Source organism: Homo sapiens, chromosome 15, assembly GCF_000001405.40.
Source record: "Homo sapiens chromosome 15, GRCh38.p14 Primary Assembly".
Classification (NCBI taxonomy): domain Eukaryota; kingdom Metazoa; phylum Chordata; class Mammalia; order Primates; family Hominidae; genus Homo; species Homo sapiens.
Genome location: NC_000015.10, coordinates 60529867 through 60553909, shown reverse-complemented (window position 1 = coordinate 60553909; position 24043 = coordinate 60529867). Strand labels below are relative to the sequence as shown.

General features: G+C 40.5%; 1 protein-coding gene and 1 long non-coding RNA gene across 13 annotated transcripts in view, besides 1 other annotated feature; one reads left to right on the top strand and one right to left on the bottom strand.

The window, feature by feature from the left end:
- The window catches only part of RORA-AS1 (RORA antisense RNA 1), a 151462-nt gene that overhangs the window by 76730 nt on the left and 50689 nt on the right, over positions 1-24043 (bottom strand). The window contains exon 6 of one of the 3 annotated variants that reach the window (NR_120339.1): positions 22943-24024. The exons of the other annotated variants lie outside the window; for them this stretch is intronic. This is a non-coding gene — a long non-coding RNA (RORA antisense RNA 1). Of the gene's footprint in view, positions 1-22942; positions 24025-24043 lie in introns of those variants that run through there. 3 annotated transcript variants of the gene reach the window in all.
- The window catches only part of RORA (RAR related orphan receptor A), a 741019-nt gene that overhangs the window by 675393 nt on the left and 41583 nt on the right, over positions 1-24043 (top strand). For 8 of the 10 annotated variants that reach the window (NM_134261.3, XM_047432928.1, XM_011521875.3 and 5 more), the window contains one exon: positions 22059-22144. In NM_134261.3, coding sequence (NP_599023.1) covers positions 22059-22144 — 86 coding nt within the window. Of the gene's footprint in view, positions 1-6722; positions 6869-13130; positions 13240-22058; positions 22145-24043 lie in introns of all 10 variants that reach the window. The other 2 variants (XM_047432929.1, XM_047432930.1) reach the window with 2 other exon arrangements.
- Positions 5533-5582: a silencer, noted in NCBI's record as "silent region_6497". NCBI's record gives its function as "represses an Ori minimal core promoter by ATAC-STARR-seq in GM12878 lymphoblastoid cells {active_cell/tissue: GM12878}" and the evidence as "EXISTENCE:reporter gene assay evidence [ECO:0000049][PMID:35858748]".

Here is a 24043-nt window from a genome sequence, read left to right as displayed (position 1 = left end):
TTTTAACAAAGGGCAATAAACTTATGGAGAAGTGACAAGATAAAGGAAAATGGTTTGAGGCTTCTAGGGGCCATATATTGTGGGAAGGTAAATATATGTGGGAACTAATGGAAGACAAGGGTTACTTCAATAAGGTTTGTTTTAGCAGATTTAAGTCAGTGCCCATCTGTAGTGATAAGGGTTGTCTCCTCTTCCTGGTATGGGGTTGGGGCAGAGGGCACCTTTACAAGGGGAAATGTATGCCCTGCCTATAGGCAGATAGGGGTAGGGTAGAGAGCTTTTTCTGCTGTTTCTCAGTTGCTTTCAGCTCAAAATAATCTTCATGCCAAAGTGTCATAATTTGGGGTGGCATATTCTGATCTTCTCACCAGTTAGTTGCAGAGCTAAAATTAGAACTTAGACCATCTGACTCTTAGCCCATTCTTTTGATTTCTCTATGCTTTATTATATAATATTAAAATAGCTGTTAGTCTCTGTGATACTACTACAAGAGGCTTACCAATTCTAATATTAGAACCAACCAACAAGCCTGGCTCCACACCCTTGGCACATGTCACAATCAATCACAGCACAGTGCATCTCAACCAGCCCCCAAGCATTCACTTGAAATCCATGTGACTCGGAATATGAGCTGAAACTCACTTGCCATCTTGACCTTATAGTAATCCCAGGATAAAGCAGTAATTCCTGGTTCAGAAAAGCAGATGGAGATTAACTTTGATTATTGAGTATTATCTGGGATCAGATAAAAATATCAATAGCTCATATAACAATAGTAATAGCAGTTACAATTGTATGCCAGGCATTGAGCTAGTTGCTTACATATATTCTTGCATTTGAGCCTCATAACAGCCCTGTGAAGTAGGTACTGTTATCTCTGTGGTAGAGATTAGGAAATAGAGGTTTGGAGAGGTTAAATAACTTGCCCATGATCACAGTGCTAATAAGTGGAAGATTTAGCATTGGGGTCCAAGGCTGTCTATCTGTAAAGCCACTCCTTGACATCTGACAACATATATGGAGAGGTCCATGTGCTGACCACTTGTAGCCCAGCCCTAGATGTCACAAGAGTAGTTATTAACTTTCTCACCTCCAGCCTTTTCTTTTAATCCTGTGAATTCCTTTGACATCTGTGGGTGGCAGGCTCTAGTAAATGTAGTTCAGAAGAAGATGCCTGCCCCAATTGATTTTTTTAGACACTTTAATTTGTGTTGGTTCTTGCTGTAGTTTCCACACTAGAAGGAAAGACCTGAGGCTGTCATTGGGTATTTTAATAACCCTTTCATTCCACTCCAGGGTAGTAGATATTACATGCTAGAAGCAGGTGGTAGGATTTCCTAATTTATTTATTCCTTTGGAGCACCTGCTATGTGTCAGGCACTGAGGCAGGCACTGGGAAGACAGGATGGAGAAGAATGACAGGTTCCTGCTCTATACATCTTATTCTTAATGTGTGGAGACAGCTAATAAATACGTGGCATTCCAGGGACTGATAAAGGCTTTGTAGAATGAATGCAGGTATTCATAGCAGGTGACTTGCGGGGAGAGGGCGAGGGATGCCTTGGGTTTTTCATTTCCTGTGGACCCTAGGACAAATATTAAGAAAAACTTTTCAAAAAGCAAGATAAGCTTCTGTATCTCTGAAATGACTGCAGTGCACTTGTGGCTCAGACGGAGACTGAGGAAAATGTAAAAAGACATGGTGTAATTTCAGTGTAATTTTCCTGTTTGACACCACTATCATTTTCCCAGTCTTCTGGGCCCTTCTCTCCCTGATAACTCTCTGCACCTGCAGCTGCATCGTGTTCTACCTATGATGCAAGGCTCACTGCCTCTCCCTAACACCACCACTGTGAACCACGAAGGATCCTGTGTTTTGTGTCCTCAAAGTCAGGTCCCCTGTGGCTACCGAAGTTCAACCACCTACACTGATAAAAGAGCCTCGGCTCACTCTTCCCAAGTGAATTGTTTCTGTTCACACTGGTTCTGTTTTTCTCTGTGAAATGAGGAGGTTGGGATAAACCCCAGTTGAAAAGGTGGCAGGAGAATGAACAGATGGTGGCAGTATCACCTTGGTCTTGCCCAAGCTTGGTAACCTTAGGACAGTCACTTTACCTCTCAGTCTCAGGTGCCTTGACTGAAAAGAAAGGGGTTTGATTTGTTAATCACAGAGGTCTTTATGGACCTGGCATTGAATGATTTAAAAGGTTCCATGTAGCTCTTTAGAGTACACTAAACAAAACAAAAACTATGATTTACTAGAGGCTGTGCATCTCTTTCCAGAGGAGTTTCAGACCAGGAAAGAGGACAGTAGTACAGTATCATTGTGGGGCGGTAGGAAAAATTATTCAAGGTCTTTTAACTTTCATTCCTGAGGACAGTTAGTGAGGGAAATGAACTCTTATGAGGTTGTTAATGAGATCAGAGCAAAGATGGCTCTTTGTACTCCCAAACTATGTTTAATTTCTTAAACTTTAGAAATGGCAGGTTTTAACTAAGTCAGCCAGATGAGGATGTGGGAACCGAGCAGGGACCAGGATGAGCCAAAGCATCAGAATCACTTACTTGTGAAACTGACCGGCTTCTGCTTGTTATCTGTCATTTTACTCCATATTGAGGTCAGAGTGGTAAAGCTATTTTGCAGTATACATTTCCTTTTGCTTAAAAGACATGAGATTATCAAAACAACAGGGAAGGGACGTTACTCACTCTCACCAGTAATTTTCAAATGCTGAAAATAAATGTGCCTAGATATAGTCTCCATAAATATATTAATGTGTTGCATATTCCCTATATAGCTATAGTTATTTCTTAATTGATTTCACTCTGCAATACTGTGAAATCGCCTTATGGAAATCTGAAACATAAAAAGATACCACTTTTTATGACTTTGTAGCTATCCTGTTTTCTTCTAAAGGTATTGGTTAAGTGCATTGAAGCATGGGTGGTCCACACAGTGGCTCTTCCAGACAAACTAAATTAGCAGAAGGAGCAGCAAAACCAGCAGTTATGCAAAATGTTTCTTTTTGTTTTCTTTAATTGTGGTAATGAGTTCATTCAATTTTGAAAGCTTATCTTTGTATGCCTGTCTTCCATGAAATTTTGAGGTGTGAATTCAGCCATTCATTGCTTGAGCTTTTATTATTTCAGAATTAGGGTAGCATTACTTCTTTTCCCTCATCATCCCCTTGGAGAGTCACCATCTAGATGATAATATATACTTCTATTTATGTCTTTCTCCTAGTGTCCTTAAGCCTTAAGGAAAAGAAACAACATCAAAAAACATTAATTTTTTTCCATTGAAAGCTGATCCATGTGTGTGCTGACAATAACTTTAATCCCTTTAATGTCCAAGTGAGGAGGATTGAAAACTGGTAACACTTTCATTGATATTTTTTAAATATGCTCTTATAGCAAAAAAAGTTTGATATCTTTTTGGTGACCACTTAAAGGAGAAACTATTGACGCATAAATTATAAATTCTATGGCTTTAAATATTATTTTTTGAGATGAATGTGTTTGGGGTAGAATATGAACAACTTAAAACTTTAAAATTTCCATCTAAATTTCAAGTCTTAAATGTGCCTCTTGGTTTTTTGTTTGTTTGTTTGTTTGTTTTTGAGACGGAGTCTCACTCTGCTGCCCAGGCTGGAGTGCAATGGCACGATCTTGGTTCACTGCAACCTCCATCCCCCAGGTTCAAGAAATTCTCTGCCTCAGCCTCCCGAGTAGCTGGGATTATAGGCGTGTGCCATCACACCTGGCTAATTTTTGTATTTTTAGTAGAGATGGGATTTCACCATCTTGGCCAGGCTGGTCTTGAACTCCTGACCTCATGATCCACCTACCACGGTCTTTCAAAGTGCTGGGATTACAGGCGTGAGCCACCGCGCCCGGCCCCTCTTCTACACTTTTTTCAAGGTCGGAAGCAGCTCACATATAGACAATTACATCTTCAGCCACTTAGTTTTTTAATATCACTTTCGTTTCATAAAATGAGCTATGTTGTCCTTACAATTCAGTTGATGGCCAGAAGAAAATCAGACCCTTTATAAAAAGTAGGACTTTAAAAAGCACTGGTGTCCTATTGTAGGCTGTTTCACAATACACATAGTAAAATATGAATTTTATTGTTTGTTTTGTTGATTGGGAAGGAGATGGGAGGGGGTGGAGAGTGACGTTATAGTTTGAATTTATAATTTGAAAGCAGAGAAAATGGATGAAATAAAAAGATTACCATATGAGTATCACCAGATCCTCCCTCCCACACACACATACCTATCCCCAGGCAATCTTTCTGTGAGAATTTACCTTGGTGTTTAAAAATCACGGCAATATAAAAGTGATATTAAAAATAGTATACTACCACTGTAAGAAGTATGACAAACATGTGAGATCCTGAGAAACTGCAGAATATTTTCTCATTCAAAGTTTAGTACCTTGGTCTTATAGTGTTTGACACTAAAAAACATAGCAAATACTCTTTTATATTTAGCCTATTCCGTGATGCCTTGTTTCTTAAATTAATTCATGGGCAATGAATGGGGGAGGAAAAATAACAACAACAAATATGCCCTGGTGATATAGTAAATGCCACTTTCCAACACTTGCTCGCTACCTAAGAAAATCACTTTATTTTCTTCTCTCATGCCCAGCTTGATTGCAGAGAGCAAGAGAGTAGATGGAAACTGTGGGGTTATTTTTTAACGTTATATCATTAACTCCATCCAACACAACATGCTTAATTCCTTGTTTCTCGTAACTTTGGGATGAAGTATGGTGTTTTGTTGCCTGTTTACAAAATAGGCGACAGACACAGAACATAAGAGCTGCTACATATCATAGAACATATCGAGAATGCCAGAGATTTTTCCTGTTTTCTTCCACAAGACCATGTTAAACTGTGTGTATCAAGTTTAATAAGAGCAATGTAAAGCTACTTGATTACATTTTTATCCACAACATGATTTTAAACTAATGCTATTGGCCAGGCGCGGTGGCTCATGCCTGTAATCCCAGCACTTTGGGAGGCCAAGGCGGGCGGATCATGAGGTCAGGAGATCGAGACCACGGTGAAACCCTGTCTCTACTAAAAATACAAAAAATTAGCCAGGCATGGTGGTGGGCGCCTGTAGTCCCAGCTACTCGGGAGGCTGAGGCAGGAGAATGGTGTGAACCTGGGAGGTGGAGGTTGCAGTGAGCCGAGATCGCGCCACTGCACTCCAGCCTGGGGAACAGAGCGAGACTCTGTCTCAAATAAATAAATAAATAAATACACTAATGCTATTTACCGTGAAGTGTAGTAGTTATACTTCGTGCCTCCCAGCACTTGAGGGTTTCATCATTGCCTTACAGTATTTCTCAGAAAATAACACATTCTCCCCTGGAAATTGTTGGCTGACTTTAGCAAATTCAGGCCACCTATTCATTTAAGACTGTTGTGTGTGTTTGATTATCTAGAATGAATTGCCTTAAGAGTCTCTTTTGGAAAAGTACTAGCACAGTGCCCGAAATGCCAGGGAGTGGAAAGTCATGGTCTCGGCGGGGAAATGACTGCAGTGTTCATGGAGACAGTGTTTTCGCTTGGCTGACATTAATGACAACCCAATGCTATGTGCTCACTGAGTGTTTTCATTTCAGAAGAGCATCAAAACCACTGAGTCCTTTCAAGTCGTCTTCTTTTACTGTGAAACCAGAAACCATGCCGACGACTACTTTCAGTAATAACCTGTGTCCCAACTGCAGGCTGAAGTAAACTTCTTCTCATATAATTTTCTAATTTCTGTGTAGGGGTAGTTGTAGCAAACAACTTAGTTTCTTTCAGAGCGTGACTTCAGAAAGCGTATTTTCATGCAGCAGTGATGGGTAATGAAATCAGAATTTCCACAAAGTCTGCCCTAATTGAACAGCATTATCAGGAAAAATAAAACATGAGACTCAGAGTTTTCTCCCAAAGTCATTTATGTTATTAGGTAATGAAGCTGATTTTATTTTAGCAAACGTACTAGGAGGTATACTTCCACGTGAACATTGCCCCTTCAAAGCAGTCAACTGGAAAGGCTGAATGTCCGTGCCCATAACGCTGTCACTGCCAAAAGCTAATATATAACTCTTCTTCTGAAATGGCTTTCACCTCCTTCAGCAATGTTTTCATATTCTCCATAGTGGCCATAGTTCTCCTAGAAAAGTGAGCTTGATATTTGAAAACAACCAATAGTTAATATGCTGAAAAAGGTAAGTGAAGAAACCAAACCAGGCCATTTTCCTTAAAAAAAAAAAAAAAAGGCCAGTCATGGTGGCTTACACCTGTAATCCCAGCACTTTGGGATGCCAAAGTGGGTGGATCACCTGAGGTCAGGAGATCAAGACCAGCCTGGCCAACATGGAGAAACCCGTCTCTACTAAAAATACAAAAATTACCCAGACGTGGTGGTGGGCGCCTGTAATCCCAGCTACTCGGGAGGCTGAGGCAGGAGAATCCTTTGAACCCTGGGGGAGGTGGAGGTTGCAGTGAGCCGAGATCACGCCGCTGCACTCCAGCCTGGGTGACAGAGCGAGACCCTATCTTTAAAAAAAAAAAAAAAAGGAGGAGAGGGACTATAAAGTACAGCTGTGTCTTATCTCATTGGCACTGAGAGCAGCTGCATAAGAAGTAGCTCCAAGTAGTTTGGGGCAATGACAACATAAGAACTTTGACGCTCAATCCTCATTTTGGTGTCAAGGTTCCTGGAGCCAGTGAATTTGTTGGAAGAAAATATTGGCCACTAGCTTTCTTCTAGAACATTAATAGAGTGGATGACAATGAAGACAACAAAGAGCATTCGAAGGCTATCATCCACCACAACATAGGAGCATCTCCACGCCCACAGTACGTGTCAGTTATCCACATTACCCCACTGTTGATCGTACACATCTTTGGTTGTGTCAGAACTGCTACTCCCCTAACAAAATGCTACGCAAGCAGTGAGTGTGGGAAGCTGAAGGGAGGGACAACACGAGGGAAAATCCTGCTCAAAAGAACACAGAATGGTGACTTTCATTGTCATAATCTGATAGTAATCACGGACAATTCTGACTTCAGCCACCAGTTCAGAAATCACTAAGAGGCAGGAGAGTTTGATCATGAGGCCGCTTGGTGCTTTTACTGCAGTCACACAGAATTCCCTGTTTCCAGGCTCAGCAAACCTCTGTTACGCAAACTCGGGTTGAGGACAAGGGTGTGCTGGGGAATTGGATGTAAATTTTAGTTGTGACATTGAAGCTTTCCCCACAGGAAGTCCTTTGGAACTATCATTTTATTCCATTTTATGTTTAAAAATATAAAAATGGGCTTTATTAAAATCCCATTTTTTTAAGGTTTATGAGCTGTTAGTGAAGACTATACAGAACTGCTACCTATTTTCCTGTCTCTATCTGTTTCTCCTGGGAACTGTTTTGGCTTACCGCAGATGGAGGAAAAGAGCCACACTGGAGTGAAATGAATGACAACATTCCCGGAGAAGTCTCTCACGATCTCAAAATCCTTGGCCCACTGGTCATTTATAGCCACTGCTAAAGTATTTGTGACCAGTTTCCTTTAGTTTAACAATTACTCTCTCAATAGACAAGCATCCATCCAAATAACAATTTGTCCTAAATCAAATCCCTGGAATATTAAAATACATCATTAGTTTAGGAAATCTGTTAGTTGGCCCTCAAAGTTTTTCATTTTTTCTTACATAATCCCTTCTTGCTCCCCATTTTTCAGTTAGAGTTGAATAAGGTAGGGCCTAGCAATGTCAACCATGATGGAGATGCCACATAGTATTTGTCAGGTTAGAAGAAGGGTGAGAAAGCATGTAGCAGGTGGAACGGATGGTTCCACAGCCCCTTGACTCCCTGACGTAGAAGAGACTGAAGGCAACCTGATCACCACGTTCAAAAGTTGGCTTTCTCCATTTTAAGTTCTTCCTTAAAGCCTCTTTAAGCAAAGTCCCTGAAATGATACAGTAGAAAAATCACACAGACTTATTTAAAATGAATTCTATCACTATTCCTGAGATCTCGCCTGCCCCACTGAGGACATTTTGTTTTCGCAAAGTGCTTTGAAATGTGATAAAGGATCTTAAAGAATATTTGTAAAATTATGCCCAAAGAAGACATTCTTTGAGGTTAACTTGCAGTGTCTAAAAGTCAAGAATGAGGAAGGAAAGGAAAATAACAGATTCACTTTAAAATGGACCACGCTAATTGGGCAGTGAAACATCCTTGTGTCACACCATTTACCGTAGCAGACCAGAAGAGGGAAAAGGCTTGATTTTTCTCTCATAGATACCACAGTTCACTCTCAAAAACATTCCTAAAATGGATTGATATTTCTCTGATAGAGCACCTGTTTTGCTACTGACAGTGTTAAGTTCCATACTAATCAGCTCATCTAGCCTAACTGACAACTCAAAAAGCTGATTCCAAGAACAAGAAACTGGCTTCAATAGAAATATTATGGTTTATTTTGAAGCGTGGGGACAGGTAAGGACTAAACAAATTTATCTTTGTGACATAGTTTAAAGGGTATTTTAAATGAATAATAATTCCTCATAAGTGCTAGCCATTCGTCTCATTGTTGGTGGGTGTGTTTGAGGTGCGGCTGGTTTTTAAAACAAATATACCAAAGGTTATGAACCCCCCAAATATTCTGTTCCATTCAGAATTTATTTGTAAGTCTACGCACTTATTCAAATGATTTTTTTCTAAACTTTAATTTTCTTTTTTTAACTCAATTTCTTGGAATTGCTTTCAGTAACTGCTTCAGGCCTCTTTGAATAGCAGTGAAGGCAAAATCAGGGCAAGTCGTGGTGAACAGTTTGGCTTTTCTGGAACACTGAGCTGACGCCAGCCACCCCACTGGGCTTGGTTCCCCAACATCTCACAGCGAAGGCACTTGTCTGATGCATATTAAGCTTTTATGTTACCACCGGGGGCTGCCTCAGAAGTTACTCCTCTGTGTCCTGATGGTCCTTGACTTGGCCTTGGACTGTCCTTGACCTCCAATACCTTAGACAGTTGCAGGTGGGAACAGTGTAGCTTGAGGTTCTAAAATGCTTTGCTGATGGAAAAGGTTTTGTTCTGAAAAGTGAATTACAATAGGAAATGGATTTGCATTACTGACACTATCTGCTGTGGGCTTTGCCTCTATTGATTTAAAGCAAAAGGGCACAATTAGTGGCCTTCAAAGAGAGGGGAAAAAAAAATAACCTAACTCTGTCCTAGCACGTTCAATTAACTTGTTTACTTTGAAGGGAAAAAAAACTTTTATTTTTACATCAACAGCGTATTAGCATGGTGTTGCCTTGTCTCATCTGTAATGGCAAGACATGGTTTTGAAAAAAAATTCTCTTCGTTTCATAGTAGTAATGTTATTTTCTAACATTAAGCACAACAACAACAACAAAAAAAAGCAGGGAGAGCACGAGGGGTTCGGTGTATAAAAACGGTGTTCTAGCTGCCAGAACTTTTATTCTGGATCTCGAAGAGAACAGTTCATTGTATTTCCTTTCCTAAACCAATGAAAATGAAAAATTAGTTACTAGGTAGAATTCTCTTCCACTTTCTATCCCTTTTCCCTGACGAGATGAAACCTGCTGGGTTTTGCCATAAAAAGAGGTCCCTGTTGGGGAAATGAGAGTTCAGCTCACTCTTCACATCACAGTGTAATACAGCAGGACTGGCTCTGGAAGATTATGTAGTGCAGCACTATGCCTAAGAACAGAAGAGGAGGCTGAGCTCTGGAGAAAGAGGGTCACAAAGCGTTACAGGCATTTGGTGAATTTTGCTCACTGCACAGGCAGTTGTGAGAGCCTCCGAACCCTGTAGTTCAGTCTTTTCCCCACTTTACCAGTGTGTGAGGCCTCTCTCCCACTTCCTCCACTTACCACCTCTCCAAGATGCCAGCCTCACTGTGGGCTTTCCCTAGAAAGAAACACTGGTTTCTTTCTATCGTGCCCTGGTTAGTGTTGTTTCTCACATTAGGCCTCTGTGTTAGAAATAAAGCTGCTAAACTCCATGTCGTTACACAACAAAAGGAATACAGTGACCTATCCTTCATTCTTCTGATAGTTCCCTCAACTCCAGCTGCAGCCCCTGCCAAATACTATCATCCTTAAAAGATAGACAGTGATCCCAGCACTGTGGGAGGCCAAGGCAGCTAGATCACTTGAGTCCGGGAGTTCAAGACCAGCCTGGGCAACATGGTGAAACCCCATCTCTACTGAAAAAAATATAAAAAAAAGCCAGGTGTGGTGGTGTGTGCCTGTAGTCCCAGCTACTCAGGAGGCTGAGGTGGTAGGATTGCTTCAGGCCAGGAAGTGGAGGTTGCAGTGAGCTGTGATCGCACCACTGCACTCCAGCCTGGGTGACAGAGTGAGACCCTGTCTAAAGAAAAAAAAAAGACAGTGATGATGATTATAGCTAACATTTATGGAGCCCTTACTATGTGGTGGGCACTGATGCTACAGGCACTTTACTTGTGTACCCTGTAATAATGAGATAGGGCTCGTTTTAAAGGTGAGGAAACTGAGGCACAGAGAGATTAAGAAAGTGTCCAAGTTCTCATAGCTAACAAATGTCAGGGTAGAGATTCAACCCCAGACTCTAGATTTTGCAAATCAAATCTCTACACTTTGTCTTCAAGGTCATAATCAACTCTCTCCTTTTTCCTTAAAAAAAAAAAAAAAAAAAAAAAAAAAAAAAAAAAAAAAAAAGTTTTCACTTTCATCCTTAATTCCTATGCAGTGAAGCTAACGTAACAAGACGAGGTGCGCTGGTGGGTTCTGTGTATCCTTTCCGTGTCCTTGGTGCCCAGTCACGCAGGTTCTCAGCAAGTGGTGGCAGGACATGCAGCTGGATGGACTCGTGTGTAGGCCCACATGTTGGGGGTGGGGGGTGAGGTGTATGTGTAAGCATGTGGGGGGTGTGTGTAGGGTGCGTGTGCAGTGTATGTGTGTGTGGCATGTGTGGTGTGCATCTGTGGTGCGTGTGGTGTATATGTGTTGTGTGTGTGTGGACTGTATGTATGTGGGGTGGGTGCGTGTGTGTGCCGTATCCTTGGTGCCCAGTCATGCAGGTTCTCAGCAAGTGGAGGCAGGACTTGCAGCTGAATAGACTTGTGTGTGAGGTGTGCCCGTGTGTCGTTTGAGGTGTGCCTGTGTGCCGTGTGTGGGAGGTGTGCCCGTGTGCCGTGTGTGGGAGGTGTGCCCGTGTGCCATGTGTGTGAGGTGTGCCCGTGTGTCGTGTGTGAGGTGTGCATGTGTGCCGTGTGTGAGGTGTGCATGCGTGCCGTGTGTGTGAGGTGTGCATGCGTGCCGTGTGTGTGAGGTGTGCATGTGTGCCATCTGTGTGAGGTGTGCATGTGTGCCATGTGTGAGATGTGCCTGTGTGCCGTGTGAGGTGCGCCTGTGTGCCGTGTGTGTGAGGTGTGCCTGTGTGCTGTGCTGTGAGGTGTGCATCTGTGGTGTGTGTGAGCATGGTATATGTGTGTAGTGTACGTATGTGTGGTACATGTGAGCATACGGTGTGCATGTGTGGTATGTGTGTGTATGTGTGGTGTGTGTGTGCCTGTGTTACCATTTAAGATGGTAGCAGCTATTGGCATTAAAAAGGACCTGCTATTCTGAGCTCTGGCTTTGACAGTAAGCTGTGCCCACAGCAGCTGTTAGCAATCAGAGTGTGTTTCCATCCGATGTGAAATGTGCTGCCACCACTTGTGAAATGGATTTCAAAACCTTGCCGTACTGAAGTACCAAAGTGTGTGAATGGTATACTTTTACTGCAAATTAGAAAGATTCACTTATTGCAGTGATAATGTCACACTCACTCACTCAAGCTATCTTAAGTGACAGAGACACACATTGCCAAACAGTGGATAGCTGATAGCAGTGTTTTCAGGACAGTCATAGAATGTCATCTGAAATGTTTGTCTCTGTAGGCAAAAGAAGCACCTTGGACTAGAGGAGCAGAAACTGAAAATGGAATAGGAAGGACAGTGGTGCGGGCCTCGTTTTGATATCTTTACATGGCTGTTGTGTTCTTACTTTGCCTCTAGTGCATGACTTACATAAAAATAAGTGGCTTCAAGATAAATACACAGGCTATACATTTCGTTTTCTTGGGGAAAAAAATGACATTTATGAGGTGTTATAGTGTGTGCATTGATGCTCAGATGTCAGACCTTCTTAAAATAAATCTGACAATCTCTTAGCTTAGTCCAGAGCATTTCTTCTCCTTATGTCTCGCAACTACTTAAATCCCCAAAGCTCTGCTGCCTCTTTCTGTATTTCCCTTTCCTACTAAGAAATAGCCACCAGCTCCTGCCACTTCCCCTTGGGAATAGGCACAGAAATAACTGTGCTTCAGCTATCCACAAATATTGCTATCCATTCTCAGGTTGAGCTTATATGTTGTAATTAAGAATGGAAATGTTTCTTTAATCAGCAAGTTTAAAGACCATGCATTTAGGGAAAGTCAGAAACAAGTCCTCACGTTGTTTGGTCATTAGTATGCCTGGCTGAACTGGTTGTCTTAGAAAAGCATTACAAAAGAGAATTTTTTGAAATACCATTGAGCCACAGTTCAGAAATACATCTGTGATGTATTTGAAAGGCTTAGAACTTGCCATATTTTTTGTTTAGATGTTAATGACCATGTCCTGGAAACTGGAGGTGAAGGAACTAGTTGAATTTCTAGGAGTTCTAATTCTTCAAGATCTTACAATCTTAAAGTGGTTAATATGAAAACATTTACACTTCCGCTTCTGGCAAGCCTAAATAATTTGCCTGTGATTTTTAATAAAAACCGGATCCTTCCCTCATCTCTCATCCAAAGCTTCATCCTCTTATTAATTCTAAGGACACTTTTTTGAAATGGAAAACAGCACAGAGGTGGAGCAGAAATACAGGCTGTGGGCTAATTCTCTTAACAGTCCTCACCCACTAAAATGATCTGTGGACCAAGGAAGTTTTGGTGTCATGACACCATGTTCCTGTGACTATAAATATGTTGTCTTTTTAGTGTTCTGGGCTTGCTATAGAGGGATGTAAATGCATTTTCAAGGTTTAATGTTCTAAGTTATTTCCAATCTTTTACCATGAATCCAGTTTATTTAGTTGGGGAATATTTCTTGAGTGACATCTATTCAATGAGCAGTAGCAGATCTTCAGAATGCCATCGGAGCTCATGGAAAGAAATGATGGGTTCCTTTGCCTGGTAAGCTTTTATGACTTAATCTGGATTCTTGTTATTTTGACCCATTTCTGCACATCTTACTTCATGCAGCTGGGTTTTGTGACCGCACAGTTTTGGGGGGGGGGGGTCATGGAAATTGTGCAGGTGGAATTAGTAATCAATGGTTGTTAAGAATTTGTGGGGTTATGTGAAATTTGGTGTGAAGTTAAGACAGCTGCAAAGTGGAGTGGTTTTCTCGTAGGCTTAGGTGTGAGAATGTTGGGGGTAATTGGTTAAAGTAAGATTGTTTCATAAAATGCAGTAAGTGTAATTCTGATGTTTTCGGTTGAGCAGAAACTAGATCACCAGATTTGGTATGGTTTTAAAGATGTTCTTTTCTGTTGTGAAAAACAGACCTTGAGCAATGAAAGCAAAGAGTTGACCCCAGTGCTCTCAGCTGTAAGGAGGATTTCACCTAAATGTAGCGTAATTGTTCCTGTTAAGGAGAAAAAAAGGAATTGGTATCTAGAGTGAGGTTGATCGCAAGAAAATACGTATGCAGTTCTGTGAGTCAGATGACTTTTTTTGTCTAGTATTATCCAGAATTATGTAAGGGACACCATTGTTGGAAACAACGTTATTAGGAATTTCCCTTGAGCATAGTCTAATCACTTAGCAAAATAAATGGGTTCTCTTTCCTGCTGATATGAAATGACATTTAACCCACCCCGAGAGATTCTAGAGAAAGAGGACTTTTGTTAAATGTTACTGATCCCAGGGTCCTAGAAAATCTTCAAGGACTTTATATTTTAAAATGTAGTTAATTCTAGAATCTTAGAGGGACCTTACGCCAACTGAGAACCATTGGTTAAATAGCCAATTACCTTTATCTTAGCCCTTGATATCACATAACCCCATAAATCCTTAACAACAAATACGTTCTGTTGTTTACAAAGGCAAAAGAGAGGAAAAACAAAAAGAAAAAAAAAAGGATTGTATTGCTGATCCTGGTGGTATCATTTATTGGGTGAGAACTTACTTATTTAGTATCTGACCCACTGGATGAGTAGGATGAAGTATTAGGAAGCTTATTCTCTTGCTGTTCAGGTCTTTCACTCAAGGTTTAAACTGGTTACCAGGTAGATACCAAAAAAGGTATAGAGTCAACTGCCTTAAACAGTTTGTGCACTACTATGTGATAGGAGAATTCTAGAGAGAACTGGATCTAAAAAAGCCACCCACTGTTCTTCTAGATGAAAAATCTGTTTCCTCTCTGATTTGACAGAATTTCCCTGTCTAGGGATAAAAGTGCTCATTTGGATTTGGCTTTTAGCAGAGATACATATGCATCAGGGAATGTGAGTCAGTTTCTCTAGAAAGCTTAATCTAGTAGGGATGGAAATATATTACAAAGGATTAATATTCAGTTCCCATTGTCAGAACCACCTGCATATTCACAGAAAGCCACATGAGAAGATGTGCCTGGCTTCCTTATTCTTCAGAGATTTCCTGCACACACAGCTCAGCTTTCTCTTAATTCAGATGGGACATTCTGGCGCAGTATTTTAACTCTTACACAACTAAGTCTTTAAAAGACTGAAGAAAAATCGTCAAAGTTCCAAAACTTCAATTTTGTCTTATTTTAAATTTAGTTCACAAATGTTTGATCTCTTGATGGTTTGAGGAGTGTGTGTGTGTGTGTGTGTGTGTGTGCATTTGGCAGGTATACTCAACACTTTTTATTGAAAAATGTTTTTTTTAAAGCCATTAAGTTTTCCGGAGAAATTACAATCCAGTTGAAGTTTTTGAGAAGTGGCTTGTTTAGTAAGATGCAGAACATTTTTTTTAATGGCTATAATTTGATAGACTCATTTGAGTCAGATGTCAACTTAATAATAAGGCTTGGGATGTCTGTCAGAGGGTGACATATATGTTTATTATGTTAACAAGTGGGAATCGTGCCATTTCCATGATGCCCCGACAAGACCGTACAAGCCCTAGATAAAGCTAGGTCAAGGACTTTGCATAGAGAGGCGACCTCTCCATCTAAGTGCTCTTTTTCTTCTAAGTTGTGAATAAGATAGTAACATCTGGACCCATCAGTCCCTTGGGAAAGCATCTTGGAAACCAATGATTAAAAAACATTTAAGTAAGTCTAGCTAGCAGATGAGAATTATGGTACTGTGTAATTTTTATTCTCTTTGTGGCATAGCTGGATATGGGTAATAGGACACAGCATCGCAATCTTTGCCATGAATGATGTGGCAAGCTTCCTGAAGCTTCCCATTTATATAGGTTTTTCATCTTCAAAGAGCTTTGTGAGCACTCATTTACCACCACCTGCCTGGGAGGTAAGAATTATTCCCATTTTTATGGATGGAGGAAGTGGAGGTGTAAGTGAATTGCTTGAGGCCACCCAGGGAGTTCAGTCTCAGAGGGAGACCTGGAAGGGCCAACTCCACCTCTTAGCTGAATTGACTCCCAGTGCTTTCTTTTTGGTGTCATGTCCTCTTGAGAGCCCCAGATCAGTGATGGCATAAATCTAAACACATCAAATAATCTTGAATAGGAAAGAGACACCAAGTCTCTCTTTCTTGTGGCTATGTCTACATCAAAACCCTGGGAAATCTGGACATAGAGAAGAAGCCATTTAACCCTCCTGAGGCTCATTTTCCGTATCTGTAAAATGGGGATGATAATACCTATCTGCCTCCTTTAGGGATGTTGAAAGCACCAAAATCAAAGCAAGCTAACAAGGATAAAAACTTTGAAAACTATATAGAATTCTGCAAAAACTCAGGCATTACTATTTTTGCCAAAAATGACTGCGAGACTGCTTACTGAAGGAGTAGGGCTTTCTATTTGGAGATCTAATTGTTTTGGTGAGGTTCAGCAAGGATGAAATACTGTCATGAAAGAATCCAAAATCAAGAGAAGAAAATAATGTACTAGGGAAACATATTAGTGTTATATTTAAAATGAACTTAGCAGACCAAGTGGCCAAACAAGTTCATCGTTAGTTTGCATAGGATGCAGCTATAACTCGGCTCTACTCATCCCTGATGGCCATTGAACATGCCTGTGCTATGGAACATACCCATACTCTATTCCAAGCCACAGGTCCAGGTCGATGGTCTGTTCCCCTTCCACATGGAGATGTAATGAGAGCTCTCTGCAAACCCTTATGGTGTCCTGGGGCCTCCCATGGCAGAGTGGAGAGAAAGCATGTTGCTCCCTGAACTGTCCACTCCTAGCACTGTAGAGAAGGGGCACTACCCCTGGAAGGAGGGTTTGAAAAAAGGGAGCTTGTCTGGGTAGACAGATTGAAGAAAGGTTTCCTCTCTCCAGGCTGTTGCAGTCACTCTGCAGCAAGGCTCACAGCCAGGTGCATTTCAACCTCTACTTTTGACCCCTCAGCTAGGCCGCACTGGGCAGAGCACAACCTGCATGACCATCTTTAGAAGCCCTGAAACAAGGGGGCCACAAAATTCTAGAAGCCTGGTGCTCCTGAAGTCCCTCCAGGGAATAAGGTGAAGACTCTGCAGCTCTCCCCCGGCTAACCTTGACACGCAAGCCAGGCCGCCATTCAGGCAGCTGCAGAAGCCTTTAATACCCTGGCAGTTTTAAACAGGGGATAAAATAAAGTGACTAATCCATAAAGGACTCAAGCCATTTTACTGAAAATAAAATCAAATGCCTTAGGGTTTTTCTTTTTAATCTTTATTGGTTTTTCTGCTTAGAAAAGTAATACATGCTGGTTGTAAAAAATTCAAACATTAGAGAAATATCTAACATAGCAAGTGAAAAGTCCTCCATATTCTCTGCACTCCAGAAAAAAACACCATCAACAGATCTGTGTAAAAGATAGATAGGCTTTTTAAAGCACTAGTTTTTGACCGTTTTTGCAAGACACACAAAATTGGTTGACATTCATAAGTATGACAGACATGTTCTCATAGGTGTACCCAAGGTTCGGCCATTGGCCGTTTCCTGGCAAGCCAGCAGTAACCCCACCCCATTCAGTCCAATTCAAGAAAATATTTGGTTGTGCAATTGAGCTAGAGTGAACGATATTATTGGGGTAACCTTGGGTCTATATTAGTTTAGTTTTTATGTGAACCAATAAAAAACTTTAATTTTGTAAAACTTTTATTAGTAACCAATTCCCTGTGACACTCCTGCAACTTATTGCAACATACCACTGTGTTGTGGCAAACAGTTAAGCAGCAATGTTGTGAAGGATTGCTGTGGTAGCTGGTAGGAACTGCCTGTCATGTTATTTGGAGGATAAGCAGCTTTTCTCTATCCCCACCTCGGAAAGAGCTTAAAGTCTGGAGGAAAGAATTTCATTTCACTATAAGGCAGGATTTCTTATCAACAACAACAATAATAATAACTACTATTTACTGAGTGCCAGCTATTTCTAAGAACTATGTGATGGGCATATATAGAGAATACATATATAAAATGCTCATACAGATATCATATATATGGTATGTCATTTATGTATCACATCCTTGAATCTTCAAGTATGAAACTGAGGCTCAGAGAGGTTAAGTAATCTGCCCGGCCTTAAGAACTGTCAAACGTTGACATTGGTCATTTTAGGGTTAAAATTCTAACCAGAATTTTGTGAAACTGAGATCAGTGGCCTAGAAGGTTGATGGTTATTTTTAGTTATAAACTACGGGGATAACTCCCAGCAAGAGATGTTGACATCAATTCCTGAGTAGTGTGTTAAGTTTAAACAAACTACTTAGGGGATGTCTTTTGAGCCCTGGTTAGTGATTGCTTAATAAGAGTGCAATGATGATGATGACAATGATGACAGTAACAATTAAGTAAGTGATGCCTACCGCATAGGGTATTGGAGGAGTGAGTGAGATATAATGCGTGACACATTATTAGCACAAATACATGTAGATATTATTATTATAAATTAGATTATTATTGAGAGATCACTACTCACCCACAGAATGAAGTACTGGGTGCCTGTCATACAATTTTTATTTTTTTAATTCTTTGGGAAAATGGGCATTGTTCTCTGGACCATGTTATCTCCTAAGATAGGTCCTGAGGAATAAATGTCATCTTAAGAATGCTAGTGCCCAAGTTCTTGTTCCTTTTATAATTAAAAATTCAAAGCAAACTTCTTCTAGAAGTGCAGTGCTAAATGACAGCCTAGCCCCAAGGACCACTTGGTTAATTAGCACCCTTGCATTCCAGGATTTCCTGATGCCCGCTGCCACTTGTTGTCAGCTCCTTGAAACTGCATTTGCCTCTGCAGGTGTGGAGAGCCTGCTTGAATTACACAGGGTGCATGAGAGAGCAAATTATTTAGGCAATAGGGCTGAAAATGTGGGCAAATTAGAATTTTTCATAGCAAGATTGTTCATTGTGAAGCCAATTCATGATTATATGTGCGCATCTTGCTCCAGATATTCCACTACACAATAAACCTCTTTGCTGGGATGAATATGTATGTGGGCTAATTTAATCAATATACTTGTGAACGTTGACAGTAGTGCTGTCTGACAGAACTCATCCTTTGAAATGCTGGCTGAGTTAATGTGTGCAGTATATATATGGGCCAAGATTCATAATTTGTGTTAAAAGAAGATTGTTTTGAGAAGACACCACACTACCTGGTGGGAAACTGAAAAGCCTACACGATGAAAGGCAAAGGGCAGAGGGATTTTTGTCTTCCTCCTTCTTGTTGGACTGAAAACTCAAATTGACAAAACTAAACTGCCTCCTTTTGAAAAATTTGCAAGGCATTGACTGCATTTTTTTCTCATGGATTCATTTGAATTCTGGAAATTGACTAAAATGGGGGATGGAGAGGGCTTTTGTGCATTGTTGGGTTAAATGAAGGGCTGAGCAAGTGCCCTGCTCCAATCTGCAAATGCTCGCTTTCTGGGAATATCAACACGTGTGATCAGATCACATTCAGAGGGTTTGCTTTTGGAGTAGGAGGATTTTAGTCATTTCCTAAAGTGCATTTGCAACTGAAATTGTCATCTGAGATAAGAGAACCAAGCAGGAGGAAGCCTAGGAGAATAGTTTAACCAATCAGAATACCTCAACTTGCTATCCAGAAACCCTTCTACCACCTTACCGAGAGATTCCCGGTGAAGCCTGTTTCAATTAAATCTGATTCTTTAGCCCACTGGAACTAAGCACAGACACATGGGGACAAAGATCTAAGTGAATGGCCCCCCTGTTTGGAAATACAAGTCAATCTACAGTGAGTCCATTTATCCTAAGCGTCTTGGCCTCCACAGATCTCGTGACTGTCTCCGCTCAAATATCCTCCAGATCTGAAAACCCCTGCAAGCTGAAGCCTGACTCAGGCCATCAGTCCTGTGTCACAGTGGCACCAAACTCTGGGGTCTGTACTACAACTGCTCCCCACCCGCACCCCTACCCTCACCCCTGCCAGGACATGAGCCATTCCAAGGGTGGAAGTGCTGGGGCCAGTATAGTACTCCCAAGGCCACCCCCATCATGAGCAGACCTCCGTGCCAGGCAGGCATCTTGGTCACAGCCTTAAACATCGTTGCTTCACTTCTAATTAGTAATCCACTGTGAGTCCAGGCCGACTGTACAGGAATACTGCATATCATTTTCAGTTTGTCCAGATGCAGTTCTACTCATTGTTCTCAATATGCCCTGCCCAGGGCCTTCATATTCTTGTAAAGGACTAAATAGACATGCTTGATCTCCCTCATTGTTAAGATGGAATGAAGATAACTCTTGAAAGGCCCAAGTTTAGCGTCAGGTAGTTTTGATGCTGACTTAAATGCTAGGACCTAAAGAGGTTTTTGTTCATCCCTAATTTCTGTCATTACACCTTGAGGTGAGACATGGACAGAAGCAGCTCCAAGTAGGTCTTCTTCATTTCATGTATAAATTCTGTTTAACAGGTGGTTCAAGGACTTCATGGTGCCTAATTATTACATTCCTAGGAATCAGGGTAAGGAGGCTGGTTCTCATTCTAGCCTACTCAATTCATGTAGGGAAAAGCAGGCAATAACTCTCAGCTGATAGCACCTTTCAGGATTTCTCTACTTCCACTTGGCTTTTCCACGTCTCTGAAAAATGTTAGGCGTAACTCGCTTTCTCTAGAGTTGCAGATCTGTGGCACAAACCTTTGCCTTGACTATATTAAACATAATGGAAGGACTGTGCAGTATGAGACATTATTAGATACCATATTTCATAAAGAATTTTTCTTGAAGAAGTCAAGCCAAGTGTTAACATGAGGCAGACTTGCAAATGACAACTTTTGTTGAATGCAACCTTAAACATATTAACTTGCTTAAGTTGCTTAACTCAAACTATACCTATTAGTGTCCAAAGTCACCATTATTGGGGTATTAGAAAGCCTCCAGAGTATAGAAAATACACTGGATGTGAGATCTGGAACAATCTCTAAATTTGGACAGCAAAGAAACTCAGTATGCAAGCACTAAAAAAATGATGGATAGCTTTTAGAATAGCTTGCACTCCCTAAAAGTCACCACAGTACTTGTATTAGGCCCTGAGAAAGGGAGTTAGCAGTACACATGGTTTATAATGAGGTTAAATCCAATAGTTTCATGTGTGCTCTAAGTATCGAATGCAACATCACCTTAAATCCAAAGTAAGTGGTTGTGAAATCATCCCAGGATATGGGATTACATTAGAAGAAAGAGTGGGCTGTGTGTCTCTGTGTGGTACTTACACTATGTGACATATTCTTTGGACAAAGAAATTACTCTGTGTAAGGTCTGGGGCTAGGTAAGGGCTGTACAGAAATGAAATAGACTTGGGCACTTGCAGTTGTGTTTGTGTGTGTAACTCAGTAGGTAATCTAACATGATACCCAGTAGTGAAAACCATGGAAAATGAATTTAGCGTAATGACACATTCCAGGTAAACTGGTGACTGTTCCCATCCTGTCTATACAGCTCAGCATTGGTCTTTATTTCACATATAAATTCTATTTAATAGTTGATCTAAGGATTTTCTTTTGCCTAATTATTCCTTATTTTTTATCCTTAATTATGCTCTTTTTAACTCTGAGGTATAATGTGTTTGCTTAGAAATGTGCTTTGCCTTATTTGAGAACTTTGGTGTGATACATGTTATTTGCGGGTCTTCCAGCATGAGGCATCTTTAAGTAATCAGTTGGGTAGAAACACATGCCCTCTGTACCAGGAACTAAATTTCCAGTGTAAAGAACTCAGAAGCAACACATCCTATTTGTCAGGATTCATCATTATTAAATTCAAACAAGATATTAACTCTATGGTTGAAAGGTTCTGATTGTACACAAATGGACTAATTTTTAACACATGGCAACTGCGTTAATTTTTTAAAAGATAAGGAATTCTTATCATATGTAACTGATTAATATTTTGAATTGAATCATTTTCCTAACTAGACCTGACTTTTTAGAGTGTATTTTTCTCTAGCAGTCAAGCTGTAATGCTCAGCCAAGACAGATTTATGATCTTTTAAAAATAATGATAGAAAATGAGATTGGAGGAAACATTTCAGTATCTGCTTTGCTCTGAGGCCTAAACTGCGAACTCTCCAGTTCTTGAAGGCTTTGAAATGCTGATTCCAGTCTTCTTGTGGGTTCTTAAACACCTTCTCAAATGACCCATTTTAATAACCCGAAAGCTATTATATAACGAGCAGCCATAATTTAGTCCAGGGCTCTAGGGGGACCCTCACAGTTCAGCAATGAATAGTTAATGCAGTATAATGTTTAGCAGGTTATTAGTTTTCACTATACAAATGCTGATCAGGGAACGCTTTTATAAGGTGTTTAAAAGAAAATGTAATTAACTGGTTGCGTGCTTCTGTTGCAGCTCAAATTGAAATTATTCCATGCAAGATCTGTGGAGACAAATCATCAGGAATCCATTATGGTGTCATTACATGTGAAGGCTGCAAGGTAAGCCTTTTTAATTGTTGTTGTTTCTATTAATGTTTGTTAGAATATATCTTTGTGATTTGTATGTCTCCACTTATGTCTTAAAATTCAACTCCTTAGAATTTTGAATGATAAGAAATTACAGGATAGAAGAAATATTTTGGTGTTAAATTACAATTAAAGAAGTTATATATATTTTTACTCCTTCCTTCAAAATAATAGGAGATTACAAAAAGGTATTTGAGCATTGCTTGTTTATCACTTTCAACCCCAGAGTTGAACTCATGAGCAATCTCTGTGGCAATCTTTTTTAAAAAAGAGCTAACTCCAGACTTCTACAATGTCCCTGTCATAAGCTTATAAAAAGACATCTCCAGTAAGTTTAATTGGAATGTCACTGAGTTGAGTCTTATTGTTAGCACACATAATGTTAACACATCTGGCAAAATTGTGGGAAAGCTATCAGGAAGACCTGAGTTCCAGTCCTATTGCCTCCACTTGTCCATATTGTTTTGAATGTGTCTTAATCTCTTTGTCACTCAGTTGCTTCATTTTTAAAGTGGGTATAACACCTGATCTTTCTACTGGTTAGGACTATTCCAAGAATAGAAGGAGAACCTGTACATAAAAAAGTCCTTACAAACAGAAAAGTGCTATTTAACTCTAAATATTATCAGTATTATTTCTGCTATGACTATTTTATTATTTCTGACCTTGGTCATGGGGCAATGTGTACAGCACATGCATAATGTGCAGATGAGAAACAGAGATGTTTATCCCAATAATTCAAGACCCCCCAAGCCCAGATTACCTCTGTTATTCAAATCTCAATTTATTAAGATTTAAATCCTCATGCTTATATTGGAAGGGCCTCGAGACAGCTTACAGGATAAAACAGTGCAAAATAAACAGGAGAGAAGCTATTTAAACATGCAGGAGGCCTTTGAGACAGCCGATTGCTACAACCAGGCCTGAATCAGCCCTAAGGCTTTTTGAGGCTGAGGCAAAAAATAAAATCCACGAATTTGGTTAGCTTTCCTTTCATGAAATTAGAAAATACAATGTTGTAAAATACAAAATCACCTATAGACACAAATGACTACTGAGAGACTTCAAGGAAATTAACCTTATAATTTCCTTAATTCTTCATTTTACTGTTAGTCATGGTAACATTTGCTAATTTGTACATGTACAGATGCTTCATGTTGATCCCATCTTAGCAAAGCTTCAGATTTCCGCATACTACAGAACCATCTATGCCCTTTACTTCCAAAATCTGCCCTCCCTCAAAATTAGTTGACTAATTAAATAAATTAAGCAAAATGAGAGGCCCGGTGTAGTGGTGTGTACCTGTAGTCCCAGCTACTCAGGGAAGACAGCTGCAGGTTTATCACTTGAGTCCAGGAGTTCAAGGTTACAGTGAGCTATGATCACACCACTGGACTCCAGCCTGGGCAATGGAGTGAGACCCTCTCTCCAAAAAAGTAAATAAAAATAATGAAAAAACAAAATGAAATAATCTGTCTGGTCTGTGCCATCCCAGGTTATAAGGTGAGAGTGATCTGCCTGTGACCACTGTCATCGCATTGATTTTTGGAGCTGATTTGGCTGACGTGGCCAGGTAGCCATTGCTTTTCACCCTCACCCTGTCTTGTGTTCTGCCTCCCAAATCTGTGTCCCTGGTAGACATGTCATGGCCTTTCTCAATAGAGGGTTTATAGACTGCAGTGCTTGCCTGCTGGGAGTTCCAGTGCTTTTTGTGCATTGCGTATCACCTGGGTGTCTTCTTAAATGGACAGGGTTCTAGGCAGCATCCCGGATACCAGTTCACCATTTGTCCCTTCATTCTGCCCAAAAAACTGATGGCTTCCTCTGAATCTGTCAGTAAGGCAAGTGATTATCTAGGAATTGACAGAAGTG